The 23,218-nt window shown below is 35.5% G+C and overlaps 1 protein-coding gene across 10 annotated transcripts in view; it reads right to left on the bottom strand.

The window, feature by feature from the left end:
- Positions 1–23,218, bottom strand: part of ZFPM2 (zinc finger protein, FOG family member 2) — a 486,102-nt gene that overhangs the window by 222,910 nt on the left and 239,974 nt on the right. For all 10 annotated transcript variants that reach the window (NM_012082.4, NM_001362836.2, XM_047421634.1 and 7 more), the window contains one exon: positions 20,149–20,267. In NM_012082.4, coding sequence (NP_036214.2) covers positions 20,149–20,267 — 119 coding nt within the window. The remainder of the gene's footprint in view (positions 1–20,148; positions 20,268–23,218) is intronic.

Here is a 23,218-nt window from a genome sequence, read left to right as displayed (position 1 = left end):
GCATTTCAGTTGTCTTTTTGCCCATTATATCCATTTTGGTTATTTCTATGCTCTGATCCAATTACAGTATTTATAAACAGGTTAGTTCTAGCTACAAAAGAGGTTAAATGCATTCGCTATTTGCAGTCTACCAGACATCAATCTGATAAATTAATCTCTATCATAAGAAATAGAAAAGGCTTGTTTCTATTCTTTAAGCTTTGGGCCCAACTTTAGTATATCCTCATGATACTGCGAAAGGCATCTTAATGCAGGATTGGTTCCAAAGTATCTATTGCAACTTGCAAATTTAGGACCCACGTATCACATTGATTCATTCATTCTTTGGCCCCTATGCACTAGTACACAAAAGCTCACAATTACCACTTCATTATTTATTTCTCAATGACTAGGGAAGTATCTATAAAAAAGTCAAGATGACTTTAGGATGCCTTTTTTAAACTCATTAACAATTACATAGATAAAATGGCATCTAGTAGAATATTACATCTTCTGGAAATCTAGTATATAAAATCCATTGCTACTTACTGAGATTTTTATGCTTGTTACATTGATAAAATAAGTATTTCCATGAAGAAGATATTAGTGAAAAATAGTTCAAATAATTAATAAAACACAGAAGTTTAGCTTGAGTTGGTCACTACTCACTCGTCTTTTATAAAATAGAGATAACAATGTAATTTTCATTGTAATTTTCACCATGACACAACATTTAAAGTTAAGCAAACAATATAAGGGAATTAATTAGTAAATGTGATCAAAAAGATTTTTTCTCTCAGTGATTTATATATATATATATATAGAGAGAGAGAGAGAGAGAGAGAGAGAGAATGATGATTATTACTTGCACTGTTACTATTCTTAGTCACGCTATGTCAGGACTTTTCTAGGGAGAAAAGGGCCAAACTATATCTTAGTTTGTGTTTCTTTTCTCAAATGAGTAATTAATTATAGGTGCTGCAATCTTTTGGATAATCACTGAGAATGAAAAATTAGTAGTGCAGAGAGAAACTTAAACACTACTAGTTGTTAACATCGTCAAGCGAAACAGAGTATTTTACACTTTGTATCTTGTCTAAAAATAATGTAGTCATTGACCTTAAACCTTATCAAACTGGTTCCATCATCAAGGTCAAGTATAATAATAAATAAATTCACATGGACATGAGCCTACCATAAGTATTTATGATGCAACTACATTTGTACCTTGTATTTTTCCTAGAAAAAGTACTGGCAAATAAAAATTAATATTGTCAGTAGAAAACTTTAATTTTGAAATAGGTTAATAAAATTTGGCAAAGATAGATACAAGGTATATATTCACTATTTAGAAGTCTTTTCAGAGCTTCCAATTCTGCCTTCACACAACAATATACAATATGCATGGAAAAATCCCAAATATGTACCTAAGACAACTAACAACAGTAGCTGTTATCAGCACATATCTTTATGTTTGGTGCCAGTCCTTCTTTCAATTCGACCAAAGAAGAGAAGACATAAGAAAAGCAATTCAGAAAATCCTTACACACTAATCTTTCGGGAAGGATATCCTTGATGAGTAGTAGATAGATACTGAAGCCCTTCTGGGTCTAGAGAACTATTTTACATCTGTGTGTAACACCAGATGAAGAGATAGGGAGAGCACAGGTGTGTGCTGCTGAAGACTTTACAGGGGTTAGCCAATGGCTTGGTTCACAGAATGGCAGGAATGGTAAGCAGGCACAGCTATATTTGAGTCTTTTAGAAAGCACTATGATTCATCCTGCTAATTCTCATTCCAGTTTTCATTTTGCAAAAGATTAAACAAATAAAGAGAACTACCACGCTGAAAAAAAATTATCAGTTTGTGGAAAGAAACATGGAAATACTGATTTTTGTTCCTTCACACACTAAGGGGATTTACGCAAAGAGAAAGCAAATGCCACACAGTGCAACGAGAGGCTGACTCTGCTGCCAACAGACTCATCAGTATTTTTCATCTTTGTAACACACACCCACGATATGCTCTTTTTCTTCAGCCTGTTAATCAGGACAGTGGTACCTGATAGTGGATGATTGACTAAAGAAATCAAGATTGAACTTACTCCCTGAGGCACACTGTACCTCAGATCAAAGAGCACACATGTAGTATCCTGAAAGTGCAGTCCCCTGCTTCCACCTCTCAACTCCCTGACACAAGAACCAAAGACAATAATCCTTATGAATCAGTGATACTGTCTCTAAAAAGGGAGGGAGTGAAGATGGGGGAAGAAATTTGGAGATCTGAACAGACTCAATTAAGTAAGTTCTTTTTAAAAATCTTAAGGCTAGTTTTTACTTTCTAACTTGATTTTACATATTTAATCTCAATGACAAATTACGAACAGAAATATAGGATGCTAAATGCTTAAAATCAAGATGTCCTCTTTGCAGAAAAAAAGATAAAATCAGATCCAGAAATGTTACTGTATCAGGCAATGCAGTTTACTACAAGAATTTGACAAAAATATAGTCGTTAAACATTTTTTAAAAAATTGTAGCACCTTTAATTACATTGTCATTAAAGAAACAATTTTTTCTTTAGTATTCCACGTGTCATTATATGCCACAGAGTGTATGGTTAATAGAAATATTCAACAGAAGGTTTACTTATGATTTAATAAATAAGAACGCACAGAATAATAACAAACTTCATCCTGATTTAGGATCAGATTGTTAATGCCATAATGAGCATTGTAAATATCAATGGAAACTATAAAAATGTAATTATGCCTGTGGAGTTATGAAGGTACCTCTCTTTTATCAGTTTGCTAGTATATTCAATTGCATTCAATATACAGCATTATTCTAAAAGCATTATAAAGAAACTTGAGCTCCAACTTAAGCCACTCTAGTGAAAAGTCACTTCATAGTGGAATCTGCTTTATTCCCACATATTCCAGTGATCAAAGCACTGCTCTTACCAAGATAGTATTAATATTAATATCCAGGTGAAGTGGCCATGGAATCTAACACTTTCACAATGTTAGGTTCACTAGGTAAATTATTTTAAAAATTCTATCATTTTACAATTGGTCAACATGAATTATGTAGATTTTCAGATGAATCACATCTGCAGAATGGAAGCAAATTACTGAGAAACTTTTAAATGCTGTATATATTAAGAATACTCTGAATTGTTTGATGATAAAAGATATTCAGTTCACTGGAGTAACTGGAGTAAAACTGGAGAAACTGGAGTAAAACAATATAAAATAAGGTAAGAGAATATCAGATTGTAGTAACTGATTAGCTAAAATAGTCTGTACTTTTGCTTGTTTCTACTGATTTCCTTCCTTTCAACTTTAAGATAACTGTGTGTGCACTAGCAAAAGATACTTGGAGAACTATCAAGAAGATGCAAAATGAAAATGGTAGGCTGCCCATTCCTTTAGATGCTGTCAAAGCAACTGAAAGAAGATGTCATGCTTCTCCTTTCAAAGCTCTCAGTAGCTAAGGAGAAACAAAAATAACAATCAAAAGATTGAGTATACTTTTATCCTCTATCACTTGAGTGGTATGTAGGATTTGTGACAAATAGTAGCAATACTTCGTAATGATAACATTATTACCAAAGAACTCTATTTCTTAAGTCTAGAGATAAATACTGGAATCCAAAAATAAGATTCAGTATCCCTAATTCAATTAAATTGTTTGAATCTTGTAAAATTGCAAACATTTATTATACCATCTTAGTTAAGGTTACAGACAGTTCTCAATAATTTATGCTCACAGACAATGCACAATAGTGAAATAAAAACTCACAAAAGATCAAATAATATGGAAGCACTTTTCACTGCATGCATTTTTTTCATTTCTCACTTTTTTTTTTTTTTGGTTTCCTCACCATATTTGCCACTTTAATTAAATTGGGTCTTTTTATAACGCTCTATGTGGTCAATAATTGTAAACAACTTTTTCATCCTACAGATGAAATGCTCTACACTTGTTCTATATTACCTATTAGAGTACTTAAAGTATCTTCATGATAATTTTGCAATTCAGTTTTTCCATGATGTAAAATAATGAAATTATAAGAAAAATAATGTTAGAAACAATCTTAATATTTATAATATCTAAACTATGACAAGAAAAATATTGACTAAATCTGTGTATTTCTTTCAATAATAGAGGTGTGCTTTACTTCATAAGATTATTTTATTTGTGTAAGTTAAGAGTATAAAGAATAGGAAAAACATACAAATGTATTCATTTTTATCTTATTTGTTGGCTTAAAAATCAACTGTTTACTCTATATGAGCATGCATGTGCATGTATGTGTGTGTGCCTGCACACATGTGAATACTACTTTTTGTTTGTTAGGTTTACTTAAAAATATACATAAAGGCTATGGACAGAATTCAGTTCTATTTAAATACTCTTACATGAAGCAATTCTGTGTGGGAAGCATTCAGATTTTTGTATCCCACATTTTAGAAGAGTTCCTGACTTATGGAACATGCTAAATAAATACTGAGTCAAGTTTTCCTTCAAGACTTCTATGGCTGTATGTACAAAACATTAAAGAAAGAAATACATTTTAATAGTCATTTACTTGCTACTAGATTCAGCAGAGGAAAACTGTTAGAATAGTTATGAAATAAGGGAAATGATTATTCCACTACCCTTTCATATGACTGTAAAGATGATAAAAATAACATACCACTATAAAGGAAACTAATAAAAGATAGCTGAAGCTTGAGCAAAATAAACCATTATAGGAAGGCACACAATATGGCTGGAGATTTAGTTAGGGTGACATGTCCAAAAGGGACCATCCCTACTCTTTCATGCAGACAATAGCCAACTGTTTTGCTTGGGTCCATTCTAAAAAGCCTTCTTAATGATTAACTTCAAGTGAAAATAAATGACCATATAAAAATACATAAATGGCCATATAAAAATCTGAAAGCTCTTTACAAAGTAGGAGCATTAATATACAAATACATACAAATAGATCTATCCTATCAAAGCTTTTTTAGAAACAAAAAGTTGTCTTCCAATATGACAGGATGTGTCACTTTTCTTCTATCTTTCTTTGTATTTTCACACAGACATTATTTTAACCAATAGTTAAGAGTCTGAGTTAAACTCACCAAAACAAGAACGTTAAATCTGAAGGTGGAGTTGCCCTCTACCAATCAGGTCTCAGCAGTGGGGAGCAAACATCACCTCCAAGCAGCTAAGTTTTTCTAGATAAGCACTGGACTATCCATGGTATGTGAGGTATTTCCCTATCATTCACTCATCTGACAACCACTGTTTTTAATTTTTTGTGCCTCTATGTTTATTCATAAGACACCAGGCCAATAGTAGGAGGAATAGTTAAAAAAAAAATCTCAGCATCATCTATAAGCTTAAAGATACTTAAACTTTACAGTGTATTGACTTGATGCCCACTTTTCTTGACCATGTTTACTAATTGCTCTGCGTATATATTATTACCGTGTGCTGTAAGATAGTGGTTCTATTTTGCTGGAGCTTTAGCTGTCTTTTTATTTTTTCCTTCATGGGTAGGAATGATTTTATTTTAGCTGTCCTAGGAATAGCAGATCCGTTTCTAAAGCTCACTAGAATTTTCTTAGCTGTATGAATTATGTTTGAAACATTTAATGTGTATTTTTTAAATGCAGAGTAAAAATAGCCCACTTATTCCCCTTTCAAAAATCTCAATAAATAACAAAGGTACATTAGGCTCCAAAACAGCTTAACTGAACCATATGTGGATCCAAAGGCCTGCCAAAATGGAATCAGCATTATGAAAGATAGCTTCATATTTCATCTAGCCATAAAATAGGAACCCACAGTATATAAAATGTACAGGCCACTTGTACAGAGCTCATGATGACAGTGAATTGAACACTCATTGTCAACAGAATAAAAGTGACCTAATACATACTCTGACAGGTTTCTTGAGTTTGGATATTTTTTTTCTTTTTCTGTCTTTTTGACCTGGATTGACTAATCACAGATTATGGAGCAAATGACTTAAAACAGCATCTTGAACCTATGCCCCTATGACAGTCACAGAATTTTACCATTAAAATATTTCATTAGAAAATCTTCAAGAAGCAGCAGAAGGTTTGGCACTGAAGCCTTAGGATCCCATTAAGGGCCTCTGCCATATTCCCTAGCTCATCTAGTCCAAAACAGCACACTCCACTCCCACGGAGTCTCTCCAAAGCCATTTTGAATCCTCTTTTCCCTTATCAGGCTGATACAGACCTGCATCATCCTCGGAGCCTTCTGACAGGGGCTACAACAATTGGGGAAAGGGAGGGGGGTGATACAACGGCTCATTGTTTCCTTTCACAAAACCCTGCCACAGGGCGCAGATTAACACCAAAAAATAGATGGCTGCAACCAAAGAGAAACATTTTTCAGAATGCCTCCACTTGATTAATGAAGTAATGGAGCCGACCACTGTTTGACTTTCATCACGCACTCTTCCTCCCTCACCCCTTCTCCTCCCGGAATATCAGCAGAGGCGGGGGGACACTTGTGCACATGTCTGCCTCCTTTGAAGAGTTGTCATTTTCACAAAGTTTTGAAGAAATGCACCAAGAATAACACTGCCTAGGTTTCTTGCTGAAAATATTCAGATAAAGGACAAATTTTCTTTCCACCACTTCTGTACTTCTTTAATAAAGGCAAGTGCTATTTTTTTTTTTCCTATAGGAGCTGAATTTAACATGTACTTGGGTCCTGATGCCTATCTCAGATGCACACATGGATATAATTGGGTACCTTTAAATGCACTAATATGCTGCGTGTGCCTGGGCAGCAGTGGCTTTCAGAGGAGAGGTGGTAATGCCGCATCCGAGATTAGGATCAGAACCTGAGGGACTCTTACTGCTCCTGTCTGCGGGGTAATGCTTACACTATTACACATAGGGTAATGAGGTACAAATGGTATTTGTTTGACTTCTTAATAAAAGCTAAAACTTAAGGCACGTGACGTGCCTCTGCTCTTCCAAAACTCTGTCCCCATTTCTTCATATTTCACAGTACATCACTGTCTGCATTATGACTGCCTTATTCACTCCATTCTGTATGGAGCTCTAAAATGCCATAAATAATGAAAGAATTGAGTTAACATTTTAAAATACAAACCTAACTCAAAAGTGAATCAGACAGGGTAAATTACTTTTCCAATTGTCTGAAATCCCCAATCACACACCTGAGAAATGCTTTCTGAAGAATAACTCCCTACAAAAAGAAAACTCAAAGAAGCCAAGATCATTCAAAAGGCAGTTTGACCACTTAACCTTTCTTTCTCTTCCTAAAAATATGTGTTTTTCCTCTATGGTGACTGTCTGCTTAGATGATAAATGCACTAAGTCCATACCGTTTACTTATCTAGGCTATGAGTTCTCAGAATATTCATGCCAGCTAATCAGTAAGCATGTGTGTGTATGGATACGTGTGAGTACACGTATATGAAGCTATATTCGTATGACAACAAAACCTGCTTTTTAAAGTATGTTTAGGGAGAGAACAGAAGAGAAAAGACTAGATGCACTGCTTGGGGAATTAAAGGAATGAATCATTTACTTTCTATTCACAGGCATAATAAAAGGAATCCAGGTTTGTTTAACAATCTGTATGTTTTTCAAAGTGACTAAATGCGTATAATTTTATATAACTTTACAATTCTATGTTGTAGGGCTGGTATAATAACCCCTATTTTATAAAAGAGGAAACTAAGAGCATGTATGATTACCCAAGATAGCACATCCACTTTGAGTAATAACAGGACTAGAATCAGGCTGTTCTGACCCCATCACGGGCTCTTTCCCATACTTTCTCTCCCACTTTTGATCTTTACAGTGTGTGGGTGTATATTTCTCAAAATTACCAAAGGAGAAGAAACACTCAGCAAACTACTTTTGATCCCCAATTCCCACCAAATTTTTGTACAAATCACGTTTTGTATATTTTAATTTGTCTTTATTGCAAAATTAATATCTAAATAAATTAATCAGGAAGCCACTGATCACAGATGTGAGAAACCATAAATATTTTAATGAATAATAATAAAATATACCTCATTTTCACAAATGTCTTTTACTTATTAATCTTTGATTTTGGTTATGATGCTGTATAGCATACAGTTTTGTTGTCTGTATTCAAGTTCACTGAATTTTCTTTTGTGATTGCTCCCATGGCTCTTGGTATTTGAAAGTCCTTCCCTATCCACAGGTCAGGTTAACTACTTATGCAAATTACCTTCTGTGGCAGACAGCCTCTGAGTTGGCCCCCAGTCATCCCAGCCTTCTGGTTTCAAGCTCTGCACAATTCCCTTCCCTAGAATTCAGCAAAAGTGATAGGATGCCACTCCCATGATTAAGTTACCAAAGCACTGTGGCTTTTGTCTTGGGCTCCCTGTCCTATGCTCTCATCTGCTTGCTCAGAGGGATGCCAGCTGCCATATTGTGAGTGGCCTTAAGTAGAGGCCCACTAGGCCAAGCACTGAATCAAGAGTCATTTGAGTGAGCATGTAAGCAGATCCTCCACTAGCTGAGCCTTCAGATGACACCAAGACCTGTCTGTCCCCTTGATTGAAGCCTTGTGGGAGACATTATGCCTGCGACAAGTTGTGCTCATTATTTTTAACCATCAGAAAAGGAACTAAAGTGTATGAGAAGAAAACCACAGACCAACCTACATAACTCTATGCTTTAGTCTGGTTTCCTGCCATTAAAAAATAGAAAGTGATACAAAATGGCACAGAAGACGCTGAAATTATTAGAATCAAGAAGCCACAGTTTTGTCAAGCTGGGACAAGGGGTTTTATGAGAAAATTGAAGTAAGAGTCAATGAATAATAAAGAACAACTTTAGGCTGGGCACGGTGGCTCATGCCTGTAATCCCAGCATTTTGGGAGGCCAAGGCACGCAGATCACCTGAGGTCGGGAGTTCTTCGAGACCAGCCTGACCAACATGGAGAAATCCTGTCTCTACTAAAAATATAAAATTAGCCAGGCATAGTGATACATGCCTGTAATCCCAGCTACTCGAGAGGCTGAGGCAGGAGAGTTGCTTGAACCTGGGAGGCGGAGGTTGTGGTGAACTGAGATCACGCCACTGCACTCCAGCCTGGGGAACAACAGCAAAACTCTGTCTCAAAAAAAAAGAACAACTTTAAATTCAATATTTAAATTAACAGGCAAAAATATGTTAATCTCCAAGAGAGTTTCTCAAATAATTTCTCAAATTTCCAAAGTATGTAATAAATATTACTTTATTATTCTCTTATTAGAAATTTATGCAAGAGGCTAGGTGTGGTGGCTCACGCCTGTAATCCCAGCACTTTGGGAGGCCAAGGCAGGCGATCACAAGGTCAGGAGATCGAGACCATCCTGGCTAACACGGTGAAACCCCATCTCTACTAAAAATACAAAAAATTAGCCAGGTGTGGTGGCGTGCACCTGTGGTCCCAGCTACTCAGGAAGCTGAGGCAGGAGAATGGCATGAACCCGGGAGGTGGAGCTTGCAGTGAGATGAGATCGCACCATTGCACTCCAGCCTGGGCGACAGAGCCAGACTCCGTCTCAAAAAAAAAAAAAAAAAAAAAAGAAATTTACCCAAGAATACTTGCCCCTGGACCACCACACAGCATCAACACAGAGCTTTATAGCAGTGGCTTGGAAAGAGTCACAAACTTGCCAATGCTAGGAAAACCTTATATGATAATAAAGGTTGTCAATGCCACCTGAGAGCTACAGTTAAATTATGAAACTTGGTGAATCCCATCCTGGGAATATTTATTGAAAATTAGATTAAAACCAGAGTCCAATATGTTATCAGAGTTTGACAAAGCATTATCCCTAAGTAATTTTGATTTTTAAGACCAAACTGAAGGAGTACAAACTGGTACCTATCTCCATTCTCTCTGTTATCATCTCCAAGTTACTGAATGTATTAATTGTCATGTCAAGCTGAGATTGATGCTAAGTCCTCATAATGCTGGCACAATATTTGTTACAACCATGTAAGCATATCCTGCCAAACTAATTGTTTTGAAATCAGTATAGAATGACAATTCCTCAAAAACATCAAATAGAAAGAATTTAAAAGGCATGCCAGACCTATCAGCACATAACAGAGGACAGTTTGGTCAACTCCATGAACAACTCTTCCTCACAGTGCTTTGTTACTTCTACCTTCCCCTCCAGGGAAAACTACATTTCAAGATTGATATTTTAGAATTTGTGTTACAAAAACAATAGTTATGCTTTACAAACCACTTCCTCACTAGTCAAGATGGTGATAGATTTCCCTAGAGAGGCAGGGATGCTATATATCCACCCACTTCCACCTTAGGCCTTCATGATTCTGTTTTTGGCAAATACGAAGAAATGACAGTAGCAATGAAATCTGCATTAAGAAAATTCATGTAAGGATCCCTATGTGTGGGAACAATCACAACTCCCACAAACAGTATCTGGAGCTATAAATCAATAGTGATTCTTCATCCTTCACACCGATCCTCTGTGGGAAAAGGTTATGTGACTCATTTGTCTCAACTTTACACACATAGAGTGGATCAGCTTTGATCATCTTATGATGACATAAACAATTCCTCCTTTCAGAAATTAATTAAATTAATAGCACTAATCGTCCTAATAACTGAAAAGATCATCTTCAACAAAAGTTCTCCTTGGAGTTCTGGGAAAAGGGAACAATGAATAATCTTGTAAAAATAATTCTTTTTAAAAGTTCAAACTTGGCCTAACTAAGGGTAAATAGGTTTAGCCATATAAACCAAAGGCCAAAATGTATTAAAATTTCAGGCAGAGGAGAGTAAGTTAGGTCCATAAATAAAATTGTCTATGTATAGCAAGGAATTGTGTTTCCACCTTTCAAATCCAAGTCCAAATGTAAAGAACCTGGAAAGACTTCACCATCAGGAGAAAAAGTAAGTCAGGATGAGATTGAGGTTAACAGGCTAGCTATACACAAAAGGTATTATTTTGGAGGCAAGTAAAAATTATCAGGAAGGGCACAAATTCAGGTTTTCATTTCAATACCATTGTGCCATATGACAATGTATTTTCATCCACTGCCAACATCATAACTATATCTGCATTATAACACAGCAAATCCCTTCAGATTAATATGCAATTGACCTCTCTGGCTTCTACATATTTCAATTGTGAAATAATTCTTCGGTGTTTAATTTCTTCCTTTCTGACTCACATTCAATAGCAGGCCTTTGATTACTGAGGCCTCCACACAAACTTCTTTCTCCTCTTTCCCTGAGTAATCCCCCTCCATCAAAAAAAAAATAAATAAAAATAAAAATCAATAAAACAACAAAAACCCTACCCTAATTCTAGAAACCAAACCAACGCATCACTTTCCAAGGCTCTGCTGCATTACATTTCTTGCCTTCAAGTCTTCTTTGAGCAGCTTTTCTGTCCACTCAGTTTCCATTAATTCTCCACATAGCAGATAGAGTATAAGAGAAGCCAGGATCTTGCCCTCCCTAAGGGACAAATCTACAACCTCCATCAATAATGAATTTCACCAATGTTTCCCAAGAGGAACAGGGTACAATTAAAAAGGTTATAAGTCCTTGCACTACTAGAACCTAAGGGCGTCTGTGAATGAAACTGGCTTAAGCCCAATTAGAGGAATCAGTACATTTGTCTTCTCTTGGAACAATCTTGCTCTTACGGTTCCCATCAATTCAGTATAAATCTGACTGATCTTATCCAAGAAGTTAATAGAAAATTGCTCACAGTGGGCGACTGCCACCTCAGTTTCCAAGCAGAGACAGATGGAATTTCCCAGATGGTTTGTCACTGGAACGTGTGAGGCTGGATGAGACTTCACAGAAAGCATGGTAGAGCAGAACACCTTCTTGGCCTTCACCCATGTCATAGTGAGGGATCTAAAACTGAGTCTGTTGTAAACAAATCATAATTGCCTCACTAGGCGCAACACCTCATCCTCCTAGCTGCATCCAAGGGTTGCAAATCTTACACCGAAATTAGTCAACTTTTCTCAAGAAACCATCATGGGCATATCTCCTTATGAGATAAAAACTGAAGAAATAGACATAGTTATCTTGTCCTACTGAAGTTTCCTCTCAAACGAGACTAAAATAAAAGTGCAAGTCTATAAACAAATAAAACAGGTACAAGATAGCATTTCCTGTGGTAATTGCTCTGCTGAGTTAGGCAGATGAAGCAAGATCACAGACGAAACAGACATGGATGTAAAGCCTCAGGAAGGATGCAGGGTCTTGAATAAGGAGGGGTGTGCAGCTGTTCCTGATATGGAGAAAAGTGAAAGGAAAAAATTAATGTGCTGATTCATTCAATGTTATTCATTGAGCTCTTAGTATAAGCTAGACATTGTTCTAAGTGGGAAGGATAGAAAGATAAAAAATAGATAATAAGCATATGGTCTGCAGGGGAGATAGACAAGCAAACAGGAGCTCACAGTTATGTGATCAGTGCTCTTATCCTAGTAAACCTAGAGCACCAGGGAAATACTCCAAGAGTGGTTATCTATTCCAGACAGGAGGCTTCAGAGAAGGTCTACCTTGGAAGTGACTTTGAGCAGAGTCTTTAAATAAGTATTGGACTTAGTGAGATGAAGAGAGATAGGTGGGGAGGGGGGAATAGGGGTTTCCAGGAGGATAAAACAGCATGACCAAATGTACGGATGTGGAAAAAAAATGGACATTCAGGGCACTGCATGTAGTTCAGAATGCCTAAAGTCTATAAGAGAGTGGAAAAGGGGTCAGAACTGGGGAGGTGAGCATCACCTGGGGAGGTGAGTAACAGGAAGGCCTTTTTTAGGCTTTACCAAAACCTTGGGGTATTCTCGTGCCCTTTAGAATGATTTTAAAGCACAGGAGTTAAGTGACTACTGTAGTTTTGCTTTCAGGACATACTGTGGTCTGAGTAAATAAAAAGATGACAAGAGAGAACAGAAGAATATTGTAATAATCAAGAGAGAAGCGGTGGGGCTTTCGACTAAAGCAGTGGTAGCAGGACAGAAAGAGGAGAACAATCATTACGAAAGCAGGAGTTATGATGCTTGGTTTCTGGACATGAAATGGAGAGTCTTGGAAGATGTTTGACTCTGAATAGAAGGAAAAAGAGATGGTAGTAGTTACAGGCAAAAGGAGAGAGGTATGGGTATGTGTAACTGTGTGTGAATAGCATTTGAGATGTGAGAAGGAGAGGTAGAAATGCAGAAAAGACACAGGATAATTGAGAGAATGGACTCCCTGCAGAGGTACGAAAGGAGAGGCAGAGGACTAGGATTAAAGGTGACTGAAAGCTGGAAGTCATGGAAAAGAGAGGCTGTCTGTGGAGACAGGAATAAACTCTCTTTGTGACTGTGTAGTTGGAGGAATTAAATGGGAAAGCTTGCAAAACAGTTGAAATGTGCTATTAGAGAAAGGGTAAAAAGCCAAGGTTAGAGATTTTTTTATTTAAATGTCATTTGTAAATTAGTAGCTGAAGCTTTGCAAGTGGATAAGCTCCCTGAGGCACTGGGAACAGAGGGAGAAGAGAAGAAAGGCCAGAAGTGTTTTGGGAAACACTCACAGTTAAATTAAAAAGAGCTAAGACCCAGAGAGATATGAGAAATAGGAAAGTATGGTAGTCCTGAGCCCAGATTAAAATGAATATTAAGAAGGAAGATATCATTCACAATGTCAACATCAATGAAATCTGAGGCTCAACAAAAAGTCATGCCTCAGCAAAATTATAAATTATGCCATTGAGATGGGAAAGATGGAGAATATGGGTGGAGTCAGTGAGAATGTTCCTGATAAGCAAATTCAATTCGATTAGATTTTTATTTTAAAGAGCAGTTATTGAATACCGATTATGTACCAGTAGTAGAGGTCCAAAATTGAATAATAAAGATTAAATAATTCTATGTCCTCTAGAATCTCAATAATAATTTGGATATTGCTTTTAAATTTATTTCATTATTACATCTTAGAGGCTGTCTTAGTATGGATTCCCCAGAGGCTTACCCTGAGACTGATTCAAATACAAGTAGTTTACTGGGAAGTTGATCCCAGAAAATTCCAGTAAGGTTGTGGCGAAGTAAGCAGGAAAGGGAAGAGGTCCACAAAATGTTCACTATCAAGGCAATCAGAGCTCAATTCCACTGCCAAACTCTAACAGACAATATAGAACACATCTTATATCCTAACCAAGAGGAAGGGAAGCGGAGGTGTTAGTCCACCAACTTTCTGTCCATCATTGGTTGAGGATAACCTTTGGGAATAGGAAATCTCCAGCACTTCCAGCTTTCCCAGCTTGCAAGGAGTTTGCTCTTAACGCTGGAAAAAAGTGCTCAGGTAGAAAAGTCACAGGTGTGCCCACTGAGCAGCCTTTGCCTATAGAGGTGAATGCTGGAGACATAGGTAGAGATATATTTGCTACAGGATATGTACAATATGAAGCTTGAAGACTAGCAATTATTAAGATAAAAGATGAATACTGGAAAAGATAAAACTGCAAAGGGATAAATGGAGGCAATTAATAATTCTAATTATAAGCAGGTAGATCAGGAACTTCTAATTTTTTCCTTAACCACATTTCTATAAAGATGACTATCTTAAAACTTTTAAGATGCAATTTGATACATGCATTATTTCATTATTAGGTCAACAAAATATCTATAGTGCCCTTTATATGTATATTTCATTTTTTTAAAAAAAATTCAGTATCACAAATACCCTGTGGGAAAATAATACATTTTATTCTGATTGAACAGAATAAAATGAGATTTCTCTGTCAAATTTCATTTGTTGAATTTAACAGGTTGCGATGAGTTTACTATTATGTTGTAAGTAATCTGGGGCTTTCTATTTAATTAACTATGTATGTTGTATGATTCCAGCAGTTGGCTGAATCCAATCAGAATAGTTAGCTATCAACAGTTGATAATATTTAAAAGCAAGAGAGGGCAAACGCCATTTAAATTTCAGACACCCAACCTTCCAAGTAATCACTGTTGCTTGATACTTGCTAAGCACTACCACGTGCTAGCACAGCTGAGATTTAGTTTATTGCAAGGATCTTTGTCCTTGGGAGAATATGGGGAAAATCTTCAAAGGTACAACATATAAACATAGATGTTCTAAAACACATCCAAACCAGATATTGATCAGAACTTAAGGTGATTTTTAAAATTTCTTCCTCATCAGTAGTCCTTTGATTTTTTTTCAGTGAATAAAACTGCAAAACTTTCAAAAACACCAAGTTTGTGCTACCATGATAGTATTTAATATAAGTTATTTCTGAGATATGAGGTGAGATGCTGGAAAGAAAGCTGGGCTCCCTCACTGGTATCAATTTTTTCAGGGGTATAAGGTCATACCTCAAAAAACTGAAACTTGCAAGGTAGTGCAGACCTTCGGAGCCTGTGATGGTTCATTTTAATTGCCAACTCACAGGGCGTTTCTGAATGAAATTAACATTTAAATCAGTGAACTCTGGGTAAAACAGACTGCCCTCCAAAATATGAATGGGCCTCACCCAATCAACTGAAAGCCCGAATAGACCAAAAAGACTGGCCTCCCTGCAGACGAGGAAATATCCCAAAGACCGCTATCGAACTTCATCTGCACCACTGGCTCTCCCGGGTATCTCATCTGACTGAGTACTGCAGATTTTGTACTTCCCAGCCGTCATAACTGGACAAGCCAATTCCTTATAACAAATCTCTGGCTATATACGTACACATCCTGTTGTTCTGTTTCTCTGGAGAATCCTAAGACAGAGCCCTTGGCAAACAGTCAAATTTAGGCATGTAAAAATCCCCTAACGCCAAGGTTTATAGTGTTACTTGTTTAATTTAAAGAGTGCTTTTTGCTTTAAAGTTGAAAGATTTCAATGGGTTCACTTCCACAGATTACTGACTAGTAAAAGTAGTTGAAATGTGTGGATAACTCACATATGCTATCTCATTTAGTCCAAAATTCCTATAAGCTAGGCAGTATTATTATTACCACATCACAGAAAACATTTCTAAGACTGGAGCATGTGTTATGGAATCAGACTGAGTTGACCTTAGGCTAGTTATTTAACTTCCCAAAGTAGCAGTTTACGCCTCTGCAACAAAGGAGATAAATATTATCTTCTCTTGCACTTGTGTAAGAAGTAAATATGATATAAAACATGTAAAGCACTTTGACCAGTATCTGGCCCAATGAAAGTATTTACTATGCTGCTGCTGCTATTATAAAACTTTTAAAGCATGAAGTATCTACCAAGATAATAAGGTGTGGACAAAAGATACTCTATTTCTATGTTCAGTGTGTTATATAATTCCAAGAACAACTTTTTGTCAAACTAATTTGTTTGGTGTTTCTGTGTTTTTTAAAATGTTCTATATACATCTAAATGCCTGGTCTGCAAAGGCTTCCTGCAGAAGGTGGCATATTGCTAATGTACTTGAAGATGGGGACTTGAAAGATATAAAAAGGATTTGACATCTGGCATGGTGACTCAATTAATTACTGTGTTGGATTAATTAGTGAGCTGAATCTCCCGAGCCAACACCATGAGTTTGAGCAGAGTAACATTACATCAGTTGGCGAATAAGCAATTTAAGAGAGTGCGCTAATCCAAATTTGATTCAAGGTTGGGTAGGGAAGGGGTAGTAGGCTATATATTTTATTATAAGGAATATTTATGATTTCAAATACATATTATAGTACTGTCCAAATTATGAGAGGTAACAAAACTCCAGAAGTCTTTGAATTAACTTTTAACTGCTCAAGTAGTCTAATTACATAATAAATATTTTGCCCATCGGGGAAAAAAAGGTATATTTCTAATTTTTGCATACTTCCTCCCAGAGATTTTTATAAATTTATGATTCATGTTAAGAAATCATCAACAATTTTATCATGCTCAAATCATGTTACAGATGTTATACTGAGAATGCAGTGTGGCAGAGTCTTTAAAAAAGCAGACTCTCGAATCAGAAGTGAGAATTTTTATTTTCTTATCTGTAAAATATGATTTATGATAGAACCAAATTCACAGGTTTTTTGGAGGACTAAATGAGCTAATCTATTTCCATTTTTCAGACATATATGTTAACCAATTTGATGTACAGTAGTAACAGTAGTAGGAATAATAATACTAGTAGTATTTAATGATATAAACTCAGAAGTAAATTTTGGAAGAGGATGTTATTTCAAAAGAAAAACATTTGAAAATATATTTTAGTGAGGCAACTAAATTTTAAAATAAGGAAAAATGCTGTATTTTAACTAAATAAAATAATCTGATATTTAAAGCCTAAGACAAAAGAAGAAAACTGAAGTATTAAAATTGTTTTCTATAAATAATAATCACCCATTACCCAATTGTTGATAAACTTAAGAGTAGTCATGTTTTAAATAGTATCAAAAATTCTGAAAATTTCATATAAGTTAACGCCTTTTAAAAATATTAAATATGGCATAAAATAGCTTTACAGTCATATAGAACTATTAAAATAGCAAAATGACATCAACTGTCTAAAATCAGAAATTATTTCAATGAAAAATAAAAAAATCAAACTTTCTCAGACAGGTTTATCTTCTATCCATCACGATTTAGCATATGGTAAAAATGTCATAAAACTACCATTCTGTATACATACAGAGAGTAATAGCAAGATTAATCAAAAATAGCATTTTAGTAAATATATCCTTTTAATATAGTAAACTGGAAAATGTTCATCTTGCATGTCAACTATAGCTGATACAGTGTCAGTACACTTTTGAAGAAATATACAAATGATTAAAGGTTGCATTGGTATCTGATACACTGTGATAAATAAGATAAATATGATATAGTTTAAAATGTTTAGTAAGCAATGCTAGAAGACAAACAGAAACTCCCAGATAAAATAAGTTCAGAATAGCATTTAATTCAATCTTTGATGTTTAGACAATCCTTCTCTTGCCTTTCTTAACATTCATTAGCTTGAGAAATGGGCACAGTTAATATTGCTCTCTGAAAGGAATCAATAAAACAATCTGTTAATACAACTCAATCAACTGAGGCCTGCATTTTGTGGCTACATCACAAATCTCTTTTGAAGTAGCTGCACTGGTCCACCTAGAACAAATTGCCCAGAATATTAAATATTTGGTCTGGACTGTAAGGTCAACTTGTTTGGTCCTTAAATGTATGTGAAAACCCCTACTTCATCCTTTTATGGATAAATACATGAATGTACAAAGTAATAAATATACCCCTGGGATCTCATGCACTCTTTAAAAGTTTGGTAACACAAATATTTCCTATTTATTCTAATCATTACTTTTAGTTGAACCAACAACCTCTGTCACATCCACATGGTACTGAATAAACGGAGATCCACATGTATCAATTTCTTTCATGTAATAACTTGAAGAAGGGATTTCCTTCATGTAATAAATCAAAAAAGGAATGTAATGTTGCTGAACCCAGTACACCTGTCGAAACCCCTCTGGGAGTTCTTATGTCCCTTTAGCATAGATAGGGTCATTTAAAAGTCACAAGACTGTTCCTACATAAATGGCATTTAGAGAGAAGGACTTTCAGGGGAATAAATACTTATAAAATTTCTGGATCCTCTAAGGAATATGAAACATTTTTCTTCCCAAATTTCATCACCTGTGTTATCACTTATTATAAGAGAGGTTTTCAGCTATTGTTTTTCTTTTATCCCATGTGGTAGGCAGAATAGCTCCTTGCAAAGATGTTTACATCCTGACCTCTAGAACTTGCGAACATTCCTTTGCATGGCAAAGAGAAATGAAGGAAGCAAATGGAATTGAGAGTGTTAATCAGCTGACCTTAAAATAGAGAAATTAGCTTAGACGACCCAGGCAGACACAGTGTAATCATAAGCATCCTTAAATGTGTAAGAGGGAAGCAGAAGAGTCAGAGATGGAATGTGGACGTGCGAAAGACACCATCAGGCCCTGGTGGCTTTGAAGATGGAAGGGGGTCTATGAGGGAAGGGCCACGGGCAGCCCTCAGAAACTGGAAAAGGAAGAAAACAGATTCTCCTATAAAGCATCCGAAAAGGAGTTCAGACCTGCAGACACCTTGATTTTAGCCCAGTGACACCCAATTTGGATTTCTGACTTCCATAACTGCAAGATAATAAGTTTATGTTGTTTTAAGGCACAAAGTTTGTGGTGAGTTGCTGAGGCAGGAATAGCAAACTTATATATCCAATTAAGAAATAAAGTTTAAATGTAACCAAACTACCTACCTTTCCATTTATTTATTTATTTATTTATTTATTTATTTATTTATTTATTATTTTGAGATGGAGTCTTGCTCTGTCACCCAGGCTGGAATGCAATGGCACGATCTTGGATCACTGCAGACTCTGCCTTCTGGGTTCAAGCAATTCTCCTGCCTCAGCCTCCCGAGTAGCTGGGACTACAGGCACCCGCCACCATGTCTGGCTAATTTTTTTTTGTATTTTTAGTAAAGATGGGTTTCGCCATGTTTGGCCAAGCTGGTCTCGAACTCCTGACCTCAAGTGATCCACCTGCCTCAGCCTCCCAAAGTGCTGGGATTACAAGAGTGAGCCACTGTGCCCAGCCTCCATTACTTTTAAAACATCTAATTAATCAATAATCCACATAATCATGGCAAGAGATAGACTTTCTGTTCTCAGAACTTTTACAAAAAAGCTGAATAACAAAAATTATAATGCTGACCACTCATCCCTGCTTTTAAAGGTACAAACAGTATTACCAAGGAAAAACAAAGTTGTTTATTTCTTGTTCTTCATGAAAACCTGTAATGGATGACAATTTGTGTCATCTGAAAAATAAAGGCAATTTTATATATTACTAAATGTGAACAGTCTTGGTCTGGCTAAGCAGATAAAGCAATAACCTTACATATTACCTTACTAGCCACAATTTAGTATGAGTAACCTGTTTCTGTCTAAATTCTGCGTATATTACTGTCAGACACAAACCACTTGAAAAGTATCCAAGTTTTGCTGTCCACGAAAAAGCAAAAACAAATGGTTATTTTTAGTGATTTCATTGGAAAGCAAGCAGAGAGAATTTCTGAGCTATGGCAAAATACTAACAGTCGATGACAAAATATTAACCATCTCGGAATATCCACATACCAAAGAATTATTATTCAAGTCCATCTTCCCAGGAAACGGCCCCCAGGTTGTTCCCACTGGAAGTTGCTGTCGACTCTGAATTTTTCGTTCCCCATCTTTCTGAAACACCTCCAGCTCTCCTGCAGACAAAGGAACAGAAGTGTTTAGAATACTTACTTGTACTTTATCAGCAGCCACCTCTTTTTGTGTGTTTGCTTTACACACATGATATTCTCAGGATTCATATAAAGAGAATTAATTATGCTTGTCTGAAAAACAACTCATCTTAACCTGAGAGGAAAATAAAACTTGTCCTTATAAATTGTATTCAAATTTAGTCCAATTTCTTCCTTTCACCTTTTCACATGCATCATCTACTGAAGCCAATTCTTTTTAGTTAAGTCTTTAAGAACCAGAAACAGTAACACTCCCTTAAAAAGCACTGATCCAATGCCAAAACAGGTAGACAAGAAACAGTAGGACAATCATTTTGTGCTAAAATTCTTGTATTTATTCAAGACTGTCAAACAACAATATCTGGAGAGTTTTTGAAGTACTTGGTAATTTTCTGAAATTGACTACCAGTTTCAATAGGTAAAATGGCTACATGTACAATATATAGCAAGGCATGTTTTTCAAATAAAAAATGTTTAGACGGAGTTTTTACTTGTTTTTCTGTATTTGGTATACTGAATAGAACTCTATTGTACCAAAAAAATACTTTAGAAATAACCAGCTTTGGAAGGTCTTCTTCCTTTCATTTACTCCAGAGTAATATTTTGGAACCTATAAAGGGAAATAGGAAGTAAAGACAGTATACACACTTGCATAAAGTAAGAATTCATTAAATGCTTGCTTAAGAAATAAATGAATGGAATAATATACAAATAAATAAAAGAGGGCCTCAAAATTTCAAAAAAAAAAAAAACGGCCAATAGCTTAAATGTTGTTTGGGATAGGTAGAAAAAAAATCACAATCAGGACTTGCAGCCTGTCTTTAAAATAATTATATCTAGGATATTTATTCCCCAAAGAGTATTACCATGCCATATCACCATACTAAAATGTTTATATTTTAAAAATTTTATCTCAGTAACCTAACTTCATTGTGTTTTAATGTTATTTATTTTCAGCCTGATCAACAGCAGACATGAGAATATGAAGGAATGAAACAGAAAGAAATATTAGGTTGGTGCAAAACTATGGCAAAAACCACAATTACTTTTGCGTCAATTTTAATGTCACTGAAAATCCATATAGAATAGAAAGCTGAGGAAAATAGAATAGAATATATTCAGTACTTATATTTTCTTTCTTTTTTTTTTTTTTTTTTGAGACAGAGTTTCGCTCTTGTTGCCCAGGCTGCCTCTCGCGTTCAAGAGTTTCTCCTGCCCCAGCCTCCCAGATAGCTGAGATTACAGGCAAAGCGCCATCAGGTCCGGCTAATTTTGTATTTTTAGTAGAGCAGGGTTTCTTCATGTTGGTCAGGTTGGTCTCAAACTCTTGACCTCAGGTGATCCACCCTCCTCGGCTTCCCAAAGTGCTGGAATTACAGGCGTGAGCCACCGCGCCTGGCCTAGTAATAACATTTTCTAAATGCTATATGTCATGACAGGTAACATATGAAATTGTTGCCTTAATCTCGCTTTAGCTTCTTTTCAAGTTAGTAGCTATCTTTAAATACATAGATTCAATCTTGAGTTTTTTTTCAAAAAGAAACACTGCCAACCTGAGTTCAATTCTATCTCTTCTTTATTTCTCTATTTAGTGTCACCTCCTTTTAATAGTTTAAATACCAGACATTATTGTTCATGTTTTCATTATTGCTTATCCTGAAAACCAAAACTGAAGTATATAAACTACAATCAGCTAAAATATTTCGGTAGTGGTTAAATTGTGTCCATGGTAAAATTTAAATTTATCTATATCTGAGCAATAAAGATGCAATGTTCATAACAATTTCATGTTCCCAATCAAAAATTTAAATTCAGTGACAACACTTTCATTCACCCTTCTTCTCATACTCTTTCTTTACCACTTGAAAAATACACTGAAAATTGAAGAACACATTAAATTAAGACAAATACACATTCTCCAACTTTTTAAATTCTGGTATATCAACAGCTAATGATGATCAGCAGTGAGGAAAATGAGCCCAGAAAGATTCAATAAGTCCGAATGTCTGAAAGATATAAATAGAATACGTATAGTAAATAACATATTAATGCCTAAGTACTAGATCCTGATGCTTATCCAGTGTCCAGAAACTATGGAAAGACAATAATTTGTTTTCTGTATACAGAATAACAAATCCATTTATGAGATTTTCCTCTGAAAATGTTTTTCATCTTTGTGCAATCTTTTTGATTAATGCATTGGAATGACAGACCCTTTATAGAAACACCCTCAGAGACAGAGCACAAAGATAACAATCTACTCTGATGTCAGAGAGGAATCAGTGGGACAACACGACTCAATATATGCATATTCACTTTCTTTATTGAAATATTTAGGATAATTTTCTTATTTGAAAATAAACTGTTTAATTTCTATTGGCTAGGAGTTCTCAGTATTTTTTTCAACCATACTTACTTACATTTAAAACAGTTTATTTACAATTTACCATTTAAAATAAAATACATTTCAATCTCTCAGCTAAATACAAGTTAAAAAATCTTCTTTTCTACATAAAAATATACCCAAATAATTTGCTTTTTTACACACTAAAAAACCAGTCATGTCACACTTAAGTGATACCAGAGGAATCATGAGAATCTTTGAAAACCCTTTAAAAAAGTAATTCATCCTCTCTTTCTGCCACTGACATATTTCATTTGAAAAGGGTTTGGACTCAGTAAACAGTGACTCCTTATCTATACCTGTGGATTTACAAGCAGCTCTGTCTTTTAATGGATTAAGAACTACAAACTTGGGGCAGATTGTAAAGTGATATCCAAATGTCTCCAAAGTTTCTGAAGTGTCTTTGATTATCCATTAAAATTTTAAGCAGACCAAAAATACTTTTACAAGCTCTTAAATATGGCCACAACAGAAAGTCCAGTAACTGTTCAAAATATCAAGTCAATCTTTT

The sequence above is a fragment of the Homo sapiens genome, chromosome 8, assembly GCF_000001405.40.
Source record: "Homo sapiens chromosome 8, GRCh38.p14 Primary Assembly".
Lineage (NCBI taxonomy): Eukaryota > Metazoa > Chordata > Mammalia > Primates > Hominidae > Homo > Homo sapiens.
The sequence above is the reverse complement of the archived record's forward strand: the minus strand, read 5'-3'. Positions and strand labels throughout refer to the sequence as shown.